Genomic DNA, 16,826 nt, shown 5'->3' on the forward strand with positions numbered 1-16,826 from the left:
GCAGCGGCACGATCTCGGCTCACTGCAACCTCCACCTCCCAGGTTCAAGCAATTCTCTGCCCTCAGCCTCCCGAGTAGCTGGGTTTACAGGCACCAGCCACCATGCCTGGCTAATTTTTTAATATTTTTAGTAGAGATGGGGTGTCACTATCTTGGCCGCACTGGTCTTGAACTCCTGACCTCGTTATCCACCCGCCTCGGCCTCCCAATAATTTTTGTATTTTTAGTAGAGATGGGGTTTGGCCATGTTGGCCAGGCTGGTCTCAAACTTCTGACCTCAGGTGATCTGCCAGCTTCTGTCTTTCAAAGTGCTGGGATTATTACAGGCATGAGCCACCATGCCCAGCCAACAATGTATTTTTAAGATGGCAGATATGTAGGATTTTAAGCTATCCTTTTGTTGTTGATTTGATTTTGCTATATTATTGCCGCAGTCTCTCAGATATTGAATTCTTGGAATTTAATTAGTTTTCACTGAGTCCCAGGAGAAATTCAATTTTTGTGAATGGTCCATGGATATTCAAAAACTCTATTTGCTTATTAGGTATTAAATATATATACTAATATATTAGGTAAATATATATAAATACGTATATTAGTGAGCTTAATTTTAAATGTGTCTATACATGTTAAAAAATTCTGTACTTTCATGTTTTGTCAGTTTGATCTAAACCATTTTTGAGGAAGTGATAAAATCTCTAACTGAAATTGGAAATGCATCCACATCTCCCTATTGTTCTGCCCACTGCTCATGCCACTCCTCTCCTGACAAAACAGAAACTTCTGAAACCAAGGGGAAAGGGGAATTGTTAATTAGAAGTAAATAGTAGCTAGTAATCATTTGTACTAGCTATGACCTCATGGCAGGATTGTCGAAACGAGGCCTATTATTTGACTTGAATTGCTTTACTACTTGCTGGATTTTCTCTTGGTGAGAAAACTTCCCAAATTGTAATTCACCCTTAACATCCCCCTACAGCTAGATGAGGCAAATGCCAGTATGCCCTGTGGCCAATGGATAGCCTGAAGAACCAAGTAATATTCATCATCAATTCTCCCATGACAGCAGTTTCTTCTGCTTTTGTCCAATAAGCAAAAAAATTTCAATATTTATGAATAGATGTACAATAAAACAATTGGTGGTCAAAGAACGGGGATAATTTTAAGAGGCTTCTATGTAAAGGTGTCTAAACTGTGCCAGACACTTACCGTGTTCCTTCGGACAAACTACTTAACTCCACCTTCCTTCATAGTAGTGTAGACCTCACAAAGTGGCAAGAGGATTGAACAAGTTAGCATACTGTTAGCACTTAGAATGTACTAAAGTCATATAATATGCATTTGATAGTCATTAGATATTATTGGCTGCATTTCACTTTTCATATTCTTTCCACTTTCTTGATTTATTCATGCTTTGTGTAACTGTGTATGTGGTGTGTGTTTATGTAGAGGAAACCTGTTATAGGCATTATATTCTCTGGGAATTTTACTTCTTCAAAATCATTCACCCATCTACTTGTGCAGGGACCTTAGAACAATTTTTAGACTCTATTTGGGGTTAGAACGTAGTATCTGTTATTGTGACTAAAGATTTGAGTCTTTGAGTTGTTCTCTTGATTGTGGAAGATGTATAGCCTAAGGCATTGCAGAGAGAAAGCCAGTACACAGAAGAATAGAGCTAGAATACAGTCACCCAGAGACATAGAGATAAGAAATGGCGAGAAAATAATGCCTGGTTTCATATCGCTTTCCATTTCCAGATTTTCAGCCCTTCTGAGGCCAGATGGCATTCCTGACAAAGAGTTTTTCAAGACATTACTATATTCTTATCATAACTCCTCTTTTGTTTCAATTACTTGAATTGGTTTCTGTTATTTGCATCTAAAAGAGTATCAAACAATACAATCTAATAGACCATAACAAGCTTAGTAAGGCTAAAAATTGTGTCCTTGACTGCTTCCGGGATCCGAAGATAATACAGCGATCATTGTTTGACATCTTTTCACTAACCACATATCTGAAACACAAAGCTCAGGATGTCTGTCATCCATCCAACTTGAACAAATTTGAGAAATAAAAGATGACATCAATGAAGGTATTCTGAAACTACAATAAATTGTTTCATCATCTAAAATAGACATTCATCTTAGATCCAAAGATTCTTAGTAGATGCCCACTGCTCTTTTCCCTTTTAGTTCTCCTGCCTCATTTCATTTCCTACCCAGCTCATGCAAACTTATTCCATGGGGCTATGTGCTTCCATTTTTCCATTCTCACTGATGGAAAGCCATCAATTCACATCATCTTCAACTGGCAATTTCATTTCATCAAAAAGTATATGTTGAGACTAATATTTTCCAGACAGCCTACTTGAGTTAGGTTGTGGCTACAAAATGCAATAGACATGGTTTCTAAACCCAAAGTATCATCTCTCTCAGAGTATGCCTAGTTGTGATAAGGTGGGGAAGAGGAGATGGTTCTTTTGCATGCCTGTTATTTGTTTTCATTAAGAGCTACATTAAGGAAATACTCTTGGCCTCTTTCTAGAACAGTAGTGTCTTAATCTTACAGGTGAGTTTGGTGGAAAAAAAAACAACAACTGATGATATGTATTTTCTTCTTGGGAAGCAGCCTGACCACAGAGGACATCAATTCTACTGGGCATTAATTCACACTATAAGTTTTATAGGGTCAAGGATCCGTGGGAAAAAGCTTGAATGGTACAAGGCTGCCTATAGTTAGATGGGCACATTTTTTTAACCCTAGAGTTCAATATTAGAAAGTCCACTTGTCCATAGCTATGAGTCATATTCTCCTGTGTTAGCTGTATCTGCATGATGGTGGTATTTTGTTCTTCTATCTGCCTTATAATTTAGATATATGTCTTAATTGATTAATAGACCCAGTGGAAAAGAGTGTTACTAGCCTCCTCAAGAACACTAACAATGTGTATCTAGAATCCTGTCCTCTCACCTTGGCTTTTGCCCTGTAATCTAATAATCAGGGGAAATATCCAGCTGGAATTTTTTTCTTTTTTTGAGATGGAGTCTGTCTCTGTTGCCCAGGCTGGAGTGCAATGGCATGATCTCGGCTCACTGCAACTTTTGCCTCCTGGGTTCAAGCGATTCTCCTGCCTCAGCCTCCTGAGTAGCTGGGATTACAGGCACCCACCATCATGCCCAGCTAATTTTTTGTATTTTTAGTAGTGACGGGGTTTCACCATGTTGTTCAGGCTGGTCTCGAATTACTGACCTCAAGTGATCCACCCATCTTGTCCTCCCAAAGTGCTGGGATTACAGGCATGAGCCACTGTGCCTGGCCCCCGATGGAATTTTCACCACCCCAAATTCAGGACTTCACAAATGGAAATGTGTGCCAATCTCCAACCATTCCATAAAGGGAAATCAGAAGTTTATCACCAAGCATGCCTGTTTCAGTCACATATGACCCTAATCATCAACTCATTCAGCTGAAATCTCAGAGTCACAATGACTCATCCTCCTCTTATTCTAGTAAGTTAGGCATAGAGTCCTGTTGGTTTTTTCTTCACAAATGTTTTATTTATCTGCTTTCATCACTAATCCCAATCTAGACTTCTTCATGCCTGCTCATTGCAAAAGCTCATCAGCTATATTTTGCTGATTCTAGATTTTTTCCTTATAATCTCTCCAGCAGAGCTGACAACATAATCTTGTTTAGTTGCCACTTTGACCACATTATTCCTGCCCAAAATACCTTCAGTGACTTCCGTCTTCAGATCAAATTCTTTTTCATGTTTTAAAGGCTCTGTCATAAGTGAATATAAATAACACAACCAACTTCTTCATATTTGTTATTCTCTAGTCTACTTGGACTTAACTCTTTTATAAACCAAAAGCATGGTCCACTTTTACTATATGTCTTTACTGAAATTGTAAACCACACATATATCATCATCTGAAATCAACTTCTACCCCCCCTGTCAATCACCTCCAAATATTTAAGGACTAAAGCGAAGCCCAGCATGTCATATCCATTAACTTATTTACAATTATAACACACAGTTTCCAGTTAATCATACACTGTATTAAATTGTGTATTTCTGTGGTTTTATAGATTCATCTTTATCCAAGCTGAATTACTGTGAGTTCCTAGGGCTGAAGAATCATGGTACATTCCCCACATCATAAAATTCATTATTAATCATATAGTAGATACAAAATATTTAATAATTGATTGCCTTATAAATAAAACGAAGTAATTGCCTTCACCTAAGAGATGGCTTGATTCAACAGTTTGAAGCTTGAGTCATTTGATAATCAAAATCTGCTCTGACCTCTGATTTTCTCTGTTGTTCTAGGCAAGCCATTTTACTTACTTTGGACTCATTTTCTTAATCCAAAAATGGAAGTAAGGCTTGTCATCTGTCTTATTCATAGTCACAGGTGAGGAGTATCCTAGTCAATACAAGGCACATAGCTAATACAAAGTTTAATAAAAATGATAAATAACATCTATTACAAAATTGAACCATTGTTCAATTTCTTCTGCCCTTTCAGTTCTTTGATTCAATATTCTTTCACTGAAATCTGAGAGCTGTAATTTGAAAAAGCGTTTTACTAATAATTGTAGACTTTCTACATTAGCTTTTTCTTATCATTAGGCACACCTGGATGATATCAAATTATTCTTTTAAGGAAATCAATATATCACGAAAAATGCATAGAAGAACATCTGGCAATAACATTTCAGGTAAGGGAAATTTGAGTATGAGAAAACTATATCATAGAATTCCCTGTTTTCCATGGAAACTTTCTTTAAATAATTTAAAATAATATTTTCTCTATTTTTTTATTCCTTAAGCAAAATTACTGTTCTTTTGCTACAAGAGCCACTTTTCTTTTATTGTGAATTATGAAGAGTAGAAAAAAATGAAAAAAAAAATCATTCCCTGAGTCTCTAAAGAATCAGAAAAAGCTTTAAATAATTTTATTATATTGACGATTTTCATAGTAAACCATTAAAATCAAATAAATGCCTTGACTTGAGAGACAATAACTTTGTTAATAACATATCATGTTAATTAGATTTTGTTTAGTGTTTTCATGTGGGCAAAATATACATTTTAGGCCGGGCATGGTGACTCATGCCTGTAATCCCAGCATTGTGGGAGGCTGAGGCAGGTGGATCACTTGGGATCAGAAGTTCGAGACCAGCCTGACCAACATGGCGAAACCCTGTCTCTACTAAAAATTCAAAAATTAGCCAGGCATGGTGGCACACACGTGTAATCCCAGCTACTTAGAAAGCTGAGGCACGAGAATCCCTTGGACCTGGGAGGTAGAGGTTGCAGTGATCCGAGATTGTGACACTTAACTCCAGCCTGGCCAATAGAGTGAGACTGTGTCTCAATAAATAAATAAATTTTAGAAGTTAAAATTAGAATAAAAAATCAAAACACCAGAAGAGTATTTATTTTTTAAAAATCACAGATGTTAGAGATAATAATCAGTGAGTACTTAACAATGCAGATCAGATATAATCTAACTTGGAAGAGAGGAGGGAAACATGCTAAGGAGAGACGATGGTAAAATTCCTAGAAATAAAATTTCCCACATTTCTTAATTATATAATTCCTCCAATTATTTTCTCTTTCCAAATATGTGTCTTAAGCCCATTGCAGTTTACAAAGGTAAAATATAAGATTTTTTAAAAAATAAATAAAACTCAAACCTTTTTTTTTACTATTTAAAAAAATTCTATGTACATGTGAGAAGGAAATATTTGAAATTTTGATAAAGTTCACTGTTTATATTATATGTACATATTTCACTTGCCTATGCTATCTCCATTATATTGGTAAATACTGAAATCTAGAATATTGCCTAATAAGTGCTCTACACTTGCTTCTCCTAGAGTGAATTCTGTACTTTGCTCCTATACTCTAGTTGTGCTGGTCTTTCATTTGTTTTCTTAAACAAGCCTTGCTTATTTTATTCTGGCTTAGAGCTATTGTCACATCATTCACTTGGCCTGTAACACTCCTCACCCTGCCTCCTCTTATCTCGTTAATGTGCACTCATCCTTCAATAGCAACTCATACTACATCTTCAGGAAAGCCTTTGCCAACATCCCAGACCAGATCACATCCACCTGGCTGTACTGTCTTACAGCACCTGAGACTAATCCTAATTTGTGACTACACATTTGACTGATTAAGAAAAAGCATCTCTCCCCCCAACTAGACGGTAGGTTCATGAGGCAGAGGCACTATCTAAACTGTTAGTTGTTGCATTTACAATATTGATTTGTCATACGGGAAGTGCTGAGTGAATTTTTGCTGAATTAATGAACGAAGAACTAAATTTTGACTGTAGATCATTGAGTAACAAATTATTAAAGGAACATGGCAATGTGAGAATTAAAAAGAGAACATTAAGTAAGCTGAAGGCAGCATTCCGAACATGAAATAAATTTTTATGGTGTCCTTAGATTTTAGGAAACAAAACATATGATCATAATGATATGTTATACAGTTACAATGTTAATTACATCACAAAAGTAAAATTAGTTTATCTTGTTTTCAATAAAAATGAAAACTAGTGGAAAATAACTTTCCCATATGTCTCTTAGGGTTATCTTCATTTACACTTACTAAGTTATTTTATCGTAGCTGGAGAGTTATTTCAATGTTTGTAGTGTTTAGCCTGCATTAACACCTCCAAAATCCTGTTTTATGCCTTTCAGAGATTAATAAATGTTAGAAGCTAAAATTTTGAAGGAATTGAATCCTAATTATATTTTTACTTCTGAATTCTTTCAAACCTCAAATGTTTTCTAGATCATAGTTTTAGCCACTGCCCACTAGTGACCAGGTGTTCTTAAGCTTAAGAACATTAAAAGAACAAAAACAACAACAACAAAAAAACAGGCCTGACTTTCAAAGTCAGATCTCTAGGGAGTCTGCAAATGTAATTGTTAGGGCATGTGGAGACAAAAGCAACAGTACACTTACCCACCCAAAGCCTGCTTGTCTCAGCATGTGTAATCATCTCAAATCCTTATAAATTAGACATTGCCTAAAAATTTAAGAAAAAATGTTTAGATGTATTCCAGTTACAAAAGTCTATCTGAACCTGAACCAGCATGTTTAAAAGCCTAATGACAATTTAAAGACTAATTACTAGACATTATATATTTTAATTCAATACATGTCATATTTATTAATTTTTAAATAAATATATCTACATATCTCATGGATTGCATTTATTTTCAAAACTGTATAAATTTAATAGGTGCCAACGTTGTTGGTTTCTTTTTTCCTTGTTCTCCCAAAACATTTTACCCCAGGAAAAGTGCTATTTAATCTCCCATGTCTATTTCCAAGTAAAATTTGGTCATCAAAAATTTAGATTTTTTTTCTGCTCTACATATCAGACCATTATTTTTTGTCAAGATATATGAAAATGATACTGTATCAAGAATGTAGGGGCCTAAATAATTCATAATAGGCTATTTGTCTGAGTATTTCCCTCATCAGGACCTACCTACCTGTGGTGGTAGAGAAAAAGAGAGACTGACTCAAACTTCCCAGTCAGCTTGCTTTTGTTTGGCAGGTAGCTTTTACAGAAAATCTGTTTCCATAGAAGCTAATGGATTGCTTAAATTTAGGAGTAACAAAACCTGCTTCTATGCTAATCATAAAAAAGCTAACCCTGCAACCTAATGAATGTCATTTATTCATGCATGCACTGAAATTATACATTTAATAAATATTAATTGAGCACCTACTATGCTTCAGTTGGCGAAAGACAAAATCAGCAAATTCAGGCAGAAAAGTGAGTCCAGTAAATCAATTACAGCAGTGTTCAATGAGTTCTACAAAAAAGATGTGCTCCAGATGATGAATGCGTTCAGGTGTCAGGTCTTAAAGCAACTTGGGGAAGGCTTCTGGAAGAGGTTACTTTTGAACTTAAATGTTGGGTAGAAGTTAACTGTGTGTGGAATAAGGAGATGGGAGTTGGGGAGGAAAATATAATTAATTCCTGTAAGAGTATTCAGTGTGTAAAAAGAAATAATGGCATCATATTTTGTTGCTATTGAACCACTGAGAACACATTTAATATGGCTGCCGAGAATGTGGAAAGCTGGAGAAAGAAAGGTGACAGGTGATGGAAAGCCCTATGTGTTACATGGAGGAGTTTGAATTTTATCCATCCACAAAATAAAATATATATATATATATATATATAAATGTGAAACCATTGAAAATTTTGACCTCATTTGAGTTTCAGGAAGAACATTCTGGGGAAACAGTTGAGAGTGTAAAGAGATAAAAGACAAAATTCTTGTTAAAGGCCTGAAATGAAAAGATTTTGAACTTGTACAGGTGGAAATAGAAGAGGAGCTAGATATTTCAGACCAGAGGACAGATGGATGTAGACCATGAGAAAGAAAAGAAGAGTGTTTCCAGGAGACTGGGTCTGCCAACACTTCCAGTTTTTAGTACAGGAAACTGGTGTAAAGTGGGATGCTCCAACAAATTTGGGGAATCAGTAATAGATAAATTCAATCAATCATTAAAACTAAGGCCTTCAATTTAAATGAATATACACTGCTTAAAAAGAAAGCAAAACATGACGACATTTATTATGTAAACTATCAAATGTTTATTTAAATTTCCATTTAAAATATTTTCAAGTAAAATATGTACAAAAATGGTTATAAAATGGTTGAAGCAACTAGAAGCGTGACAGGTATAATACATATAAATACAACCAAAATTCAATTCAATGCAAAGTTGAATGACATCATATTGCACCAAAATTTATTCCATACAAAAGCACATGCATCAAGAGTTTCCATAAGATGAAAACAAACACACTTACTTCATAGCATCTTACCACTTACTTACACAAATAGCCCATAAACACCATCTGGCATTGTGATTGCAGTACCAGAACTCTCCCCAGAGGGAACTCATTTAGCTATAGAAGAATCCATTTTATTTCACATATCACATGCTTGTGCAGGCATCAGTGCTAGGAACCCTAAGAAACAACGCAATCCACAGATGAAAGTCTCTCTGCACCATTTATATCTTCATAGATAAATATCTTAGTTCTAATATGATTGGAATGTGGATGCAGAAATAAAATGCAGTTTTGCTCTTTAAGAATTTTATCAATGTAAGACATTGTATTAAATTTGTATAAAATACACACAATCCCCTCTACTAAGTTTCATGATCACAGTGCCAGAGTGAAGAAACTCTGCTTGAGTTGAGGACCAGTTAGTTAGGATATTGAGGATCACTCTTTTTCAGCTGGATCTCTCTGTTCTTGTGTTTTCAATCACTAGACCAAACCCACGATGCCCCTGAAATTCTGGGAATGGTACAAGGTCATAACTAATGCATTCCAGATCCAAGTTAGGGATTTAGCTGGTCTATAAATTACAGTTTAAGCACAGATCAAAGAGATGGCTGCCAGCATATCCTTCAAGGGTAACCTGAGTTCCAAGACTTTCCCACTGGGCTAAATGGACTCCACTTGTTGCAAATTATAAATGCTTGTCACAGAATATGAAAAATATTTAAATACATTCATAGATAGTACCTAATAATATGTTAACATAAACATAACAACACACATATTATTTTTCTACCCCTTGGCAACTGAAAATGAAGTTACCATTCCTAGGCCAAATTTTTAGACAAAGCTTTCTAAAACCATCTTTATAAAGTAAATTCAGATATGCTTACAATAAAAAGACATAAAAGATTCATCCTGAGATGAATTCTGAGTCAATAACTAAAAACCATTTCTACCAGTGCATCACTACCATGTAATCCATTCTACGCAAGCTCTACAAATATTGAGTCAAATCCTGTCTGTCAGAAAATGAAGACCCAATAAGTTTGCCGAAGTATTCAGTACAAGAGGCCATTTGTCTTGCCTTTTTCTGACATGTGCATACTATAAAATCACAGGTAGCCAACATTTAGTATCAGTAAAAAACAACTACGTTTGTTCACCTGTTTGGCATAGGGAGAAAACAATGTATCTCATAGCATTAAATGATACAGCCTTAACACATATGATGCTCATATTTGCAAAGTTCCCAAATGTTGAGAAGTTCTAGTGAAAAGTCATACTATTGTGCAAAGATGAAAATTTGGAGCCAATGTCTGTATTCAAAATAACCAAAATATATTTTAAAGCAAAATATATCCTGATACTACTATAGATTCTAGGAATTGTCCTAAAAGAGTAAAGTGTTGTTTCCTTTCTGAACATGAATAACATCAAAGGAAGAACCCAGTTCTTAAGACTTAAGTAGGAAATTTATAGAAATTTGATTTATACCAGTAGTAATAACATTCATAAGGAAAAACTATTAGGTAACAATTTTCTCCAAGAAGAGGATCAGATTACTTAAAATTGTTGGAGAATTCTGGTTGTTTGTGCAATAATCATAGTGATTTACATTGCTTTTCTTCTTTCAGAGCAATAAGAAAGTTATTTGGGGTAGTACTTGAAATAATTCATATACACAGTCATTTAACATAGATCGTTTCTAGTCGAGTATGAGCATACATTCATGGGAACAATCTGTTTCATTCTTCAAAGTATGTTTGTACTTTGGAATGAAGGAGAAATTCTAGGGAAAAATTAATTCAGAAATCTTTTGAAATAAGACAGTTCAAACCTAGGACCAGGTAACCACATTGCATTGCCTCCCAGTGTGATATGACTGTGCTTCCAAGTATGCATCTAATAAAGTTAGTTAGTAGGAAAATTTGATGTCTAAATTTTATAATACACATTTAAGTCAGACCACTCACAACCCAACAAATTATACAGCTTTAACATGCAAAGGCCTAATAGGTTTTCCCACAAGATGCTGTAATAATACCCTGTCACACAAGGTACTCAAAATACAGTCACCACTGCAAAAGAGATACCTGTGCATTACTCTTTTTTTCCCCTCTGGCTTTCAGCACGGCCTTCTGAGGCTTTAACAAGAGGTAATAAGGACTTAGCAAGCAGTTCTCCTAACCAATACATTAATTCACTTGAAAGTCATACTTTTAAAAAAAATCAGTAGTGTATATGTTGAGGAAAAAAAGCATGTTCACTCTGGAACAAAGTTGGCCCTCTATGGCTCTCAGATGCCTAATGCTCTACAGTTTTGTGAGAGAATTGTTAACTGTAAAGCTGTAAAGGCGGTTATTGGTACTATAAATGTACACTTGATTCAAGTACGCTGAAACACACACATGTAACAGCTATTAGGACACTGTAACCGTCCTCTGTGTATTTTAAGGCCAATAGTAACAGAGAGGAGGGAAAAAAATAACTACCAAGAAAATAAAACTAATGGGTAGATTCACACTAAGAAAATCTAGGTAATTATATAAATTCATTGTTATGAGGTTGTAGAAAGGACAGTTATCTCACGACATATGGAAAATTGGTGAATTTCCTGTGAGACTATGATTTATGCTTTTGTGAATGTATACCTGATCTAAAATTAGACAAAACATTTATTTTTAGACACCAACTAATTGGAAAATATAAGGAAAGAAATAATTATCTCCCAAAATTGACTATTAAAAAATAATTTTTAAGTACAGTACTAATAAACTAAGGATGACCTAGAGAGCATACCTTTAGCTATTATTTAAAAATCTTTTTTTTTTTTTTTTTTTTTTTTTGAGATGAAGTCTCGCGCTCTTGTCCCCTAGGCTGGAGTGCAATGATGCGATCTTGGCTAACTGCAGCTTCTGCCCCTTGGGTTCAAGTGATTCTCCTGCCTCAGCCTCCCGAGTAGCTGGGATTACAGGCGCCTGCCACCACGCCCGGCTAATTTTTATATTTTTAGTTGAGACAGGGTTTCACCATGTTGGCCAGGCTGATCTCGAACTCCTGACCTCAGGTGATTCGCCCGCCTCAGCCTCCCAAAGTGCTGGGATTACAGGCATGAGCCACCGTGCCGGACCTATTTAAAAATCTTTTTGAAGTACAGTACTAATAAACTAAGGACTACCTAGAGATCACACTTTTAGATATTATCTATTTTAACATAGATTAAAAATACTGTTTATATGAAAATTAAGCTTAAATACACGTATAGGTAATAATTATTTTGCCCATATACAAGTAATGTAAACAGAGGCTATCAAGGTGACCCATTATCTACTCTAATTTATATCCACTATGAGCTTCTTCCCAGTTGTTATACAATGCCATATTTTAATTCCTGACTGAATGGTTAGGAAAGCAAAATGTAACTCTGTAAACTTGATCAGCACTAATGTACAACATATTATGGAGGGTAAAGTGAAGCAAGAATATATTCAAGTAAAATAAAATGTCTTTCATGGGCATTCAAATCCCACATCTCTCTATATTTCTTTCCCAACTAAGAGCTATAATTAAAATCCCATTTATTATTTTTCTATAGTTCAGAATCAACGTATAAAATATGATGAAAGTGAAACTATCTCCCTATATATCACATCATATATATTGTGAGAAAGTCACTTGTTATATATGGATATTTCAATTAACTCATAAATTTTTAAAAACATATCCTCCATACTTATTTCTAACAGAAAAAAATAACAGGAATTATTTTACTTTACTCACATGGACAATGCAGATTTTGTGGGGGTAGAAGTGTACACAACTTTGCTGGTCTTCTTCAACAAAATTAGTACAGAATTCCTAATACAAAGTTAGGTTCAGGACCTCGAATGGAACATGTCTAAGTGAGAGGCACTGAAGCTTAGGTTTCATTAGCTTCCTGCGAGATCCACCTATGCACAGCAAACAACTAATTTTTAATATTTCTCTGACTATATTGCATAACATTAAAATATTGTTACCTTCAGTCCATACTATCTTTCATTTCCTGATTCTCTGGCCTTCGGTTTTTTATCTTTTCATACCTTATACCTCAATTACAAAAGATCAACTTTAACAAAGGTCAGAGTTGCTCCCTTTCTTAGCAGTATATTCATCTGCAAATCAAGATAAAATAATGATTTTCCTGTAGACTGATTACAGTTCATGAGGAATTCTGTTATGTAATTATACTCTTGTTAACCCTCTATTGATATGTCAAATTGTAATTGGGGAAACAATTTTACCAGACACATAAGACGAACAGGAAATCTGTTTCAACGTGAATATCTTAGTGTTGGAGAAACCGTCATGCATTGCTAACGTAACCTAATAAGCTGTCCAAATTTTGTGTCCACAGGGCTGAGGAGCTACAGTCTAAATGCATACGCATGTTGGGAACCGAAGTCAGCCATCTTCCCTAGGACAAATCTTTACTCTTCTAAAGAAGGACAAGAATAAGGTCTACTTTCAGCTAACCATTTATAAGGTTCAGTTTTCATTGGATCAAAGGAATATAATCTAATACTTTTTAAATGGGGTCAAAACAGTATTATAAGGAAAATATTTACTGCAAATATTTATAATTGTGTAAGGAGAATCATTCTTTTTAAAATCAAGTTGTGTTTTAGCTTTAGAATCTTTTAAAATCACAAGTATTTGAGAATCCATCCCCACAAAAATTAAAAAATACTATATTAGTTATTTTAAACAGTATTCATTACTTTTACTGTTTATGTTATAATAAACTTATGTATATAAACATTTGAATATGCATGGTACAAAGTACAAGTACAGAACATGTAGTAAGTAGTATGTGCATGTATGTGTGTGTGTGCATATCGTATAAAAATATGAGAAAAATTTTACTTATATAAAAACATATATATAAATAAGTGTTCAGGAGAGTTTTTGAGAATCTGCTTTACATACTGCAATTTTGAGTGAAAATTATGGATATTAATTTCCTGATTAAAGGAACTGTGTCTTCTCATGATGAGTCCTAAAAATAAGCCAAAATACTACTTAATCTCCATCACTTTTTTTCTTAATTACTGGCTGACTTTTTTTCTGCGTGAAATGGCATTACAATGGCAGGGAAATTTAATAATGCAAAAATCACTTTTGAAAATGAGAAAGAATAATTCTAGTTACCTTTTAAATTGATACTTTTAAAGAGAAATTCAAATCAAAAATAAATAAATTAAAGTCTGAGACCAATTTGCCACTGTGAATATAAGCACATTAACCCCAGGAAGAGCCAAGAACTACACAAACCTCTCTATGAGAATTTACCAGTCTTCTTTCATTTGGCAAGAAAAAGCTCAGGAAAATTTGCTTGTTTAAATTCTATGAGCCTAGTCTATGGGGAAAAAAAAAATAGGAATATGAAAGAAATTCTTACCTCCAGCAACATATCATAGGGAGAGATGTGGACAAATGAACAATATTTACTGGAAATAGGAATTATAAATCAAATTTTGAAAACCCTATGCTAAGGAAGGAAGGAGTTATTATAAATTCACTCAGAGACCCAAACGTTAGGTTCAGCTAAAGAAATGTCAGTCTTGGATATATATTAAATGTTTTCAAGAGCAAAATTGAAATTACTGAATTGGAAATGCTCCAAATTATAGGTCATCATTTCTACTTTGGACAATTTTTTATGAATTCTATGTTTGCCTTTAATAATTTTAATTGGTATAATTCTTTCAAAAATCCTTATTTTCAAATGGACAAAAATTAAAGGATGAAACATACTCTGGCCATGACTAACCATTTTACCTTAGATGTTTATAAATAACAGTTCAAAATTTCATCATTATATTACTCTCATTTGTAAGTTCCACTATATATATATATATATATATATAAAAAGTGTGTGTGTGTGTGTGTATATATATATATATATATATACACACACACACACACACACACATACACACACATATATATATATATATAATCTTTTTTTTTTGGAGATGGAGTCTGACTTTGTCACCCAGGCTGGAGTACAGTGGTGCAATCTTGGCTCACTGCAACCTCCGCCTCCCGGGTTCAAGCAATTCTCCTGCCTCAGCCTCCTCAATAGCTGAGATTACCAGCATGTGCCACCATGCCCAGCTAATTTTGTATTTTTAGTAGAGATGGGGTTTCTCCATGTTGGTCAGGCTGGTCTAGAACTCCCGACCTCAGGTGATCCACCCCCTCAGCCTCCCAAAGTGCTGGGATTACAGATGTAAGCCACCATGCCCGGCTCACAGTATTTTCTAATACTGGCAAAACAACATCTTCTGAACACAAACACTTATCCACAGATTCTCATTTCAATTTTCTTCTTATCAGTTGTCTCTTTTGCAAGTTGAATGATAATTAAGGTGTGGAAATTACTGACAAAGCCTAGATATAGAAGTGGAAATTTTCTAGAAACATCAGTTGTAAATCTTATTTACAGCGACATTTCTTTTGCAATTTTTATGTTAATATATGCCTTTTCCTAATTAATCTGGACAGTTTCATCTGAAGAGATATTTTAACAGAAGAATATAAAATGTATAAAGAAAATGCACAAACTGTCAAAATTCATCATCGTGTAAAAATAGCCATAAATTTAAAAAACTTCAGAATTACTAACATTGCATGTAGATATGATTACAGATATGGGACTATTATTTTGAACATCTTCTTTGTTGGTGATTTCTCTCATGTTGATAATGTAATTTGAAGGCTTAAAATGCATATGTTTAGATAGACTCATCAGGGGTAAGTTATTAGTGAAACAGGTGGTTGTTCTAATGAGGATTTAATACCAAACTAACTCTTGCTCTAAGATGTGTTATACACTTTCCTGATCAAACTGATGTGAAAAAAAAAAATGACAGATAACTAAAACTTCCTGATAATGAATGAAAAAACATCTGACATAATAAATTCTCAAGGATTTTTACTTAAACATAACTCCTGGATGTGTCTCATAAACAGTAGCCCCTAGAAACTCTTCTTTAATGTATTCAACAATCCCCACTGACCTTTGTTCAAAGTGCTCTGGGTATAATCCATTAAAGCATGAGTGTTTGTTATCTAAATTGGTATCTAAGGGGAAGCAATGCAATGTCAATGTAAAATAAATTTCTTTCTCTCCTCTTTGCCATAATCATGATGTATGCTTTTTTTCAGAATTGAAAACACTTTTCACAGTATAGACATCTATAGTGTGTAAAACCATCTTTACAAAACCCATATATACAGAAAAATCTCAGTCTTCAATTTGAAGGTTCTTTGCCGTGCTAACATATGTTGTAGAGAATGACCACATAGTAATTGTCTAGTCTTTTCTCCTAACCCCAATAGGTAGGTATCAGAGACTCAAGAATTGTGCGACTCATAGAATAACTGCATATTCACTTTCTATAACTACATAGAGTTATAACTAAATTTCTTAGAAATTAGTTCGAATATGCTAAAATATATGAATAAAAATAACTGACTCCTTTTGTTTATCACCAAAGTTGTAATTCTCTAGACTTTCAGAAAATGAAGTAAAAATCCCTATTTTGTGTCTCCCCTTGGGCAGATTGCCAAGATCTCAAGTCCATTAGTTCATAACTTATCTTCTTCTGGTACAACTTCCAGTATTATTTGTAATGTTCTGGTTATTTTCTCTACAAAGAAATAAAAATGAATTAAAAATGCATGGAAATCAGAAATGCATTAAAAATAGCAAAATATGAATTATTTTGGGTTGAATACCAAAAACACACAACTGTCTACTTCATAGAGCACTTTCAAGAATTATTTACTTCATTAGAATTCTATCATGCTCAATTAATTTATTTGTCACTTCTGTAACTTCCCATGATGGCTTCTCAGCAAGAATACATTAATATTTTGCATTCAAATAAGGATTTTTATTCATGGACCAGAAGGGTGAAAATATTT

The 16,826-nt window shown here is 34.3% G+C and overlaps 1 protein-coding gene and 1 long non-coding RNA gene across 2 annotated transcripts in view; one reads left to right on the forward strand and one right to left on the reverse strand.

The window, feature by feature from the left end:
• SLC7A11-AS1 (SLC7A11 antisense RNA 1) overlaps positions 1-16,826 on the forward strand; it is an 89,164-nt gene that overhangs the window by 66,455 nt on the left and 5,883 nt on the right. Inside the window, exons 4-5 of the long non-coding RNA NR_038380.1 lie at positions 13,249-13,350; positions 16,065-16,238. This is a non-coding gene — a long non-coding RNA (SLC7A11 antisense RNA 1). The remainder of the gene's footprint in view (positions 1-13,248; positions 13,351-16,064; positions 16,239-16,826) is intronic.
• The window catches only part of SLC7A11 (solute carrier family 7 member 11), a 78,253-nt gene continuing 70,055 nt past the window's right edge, over positions 8,629-16,826 (reverse strand). The window contains exon 12 of the mRNA NM_014331.4: positions 8,629-16,549. Coding sequence (NP_055146.1) covers positions 16,488-16,549 — 62 coding nt within the window. The 3' untranslated portion in view covers positions 8,629-16,487. The remainder of the gene's footprint in view (positions 16,550-16,826) is intronic.

The sequence above is a fragment of the Homo sapiens genome, chromosome 4 (genome assembly GCF_000001405.40).
Source record: "Homo sapiens chromosome 4, GRCh38.p14 Primary Assembly".
NCBI classification, from domain to species: domain Eukaryota; kingdom Metazoa; phylum Chordata; class Mammalia; order Primates; family Hominidae; genus Homo; species Homo sapiens.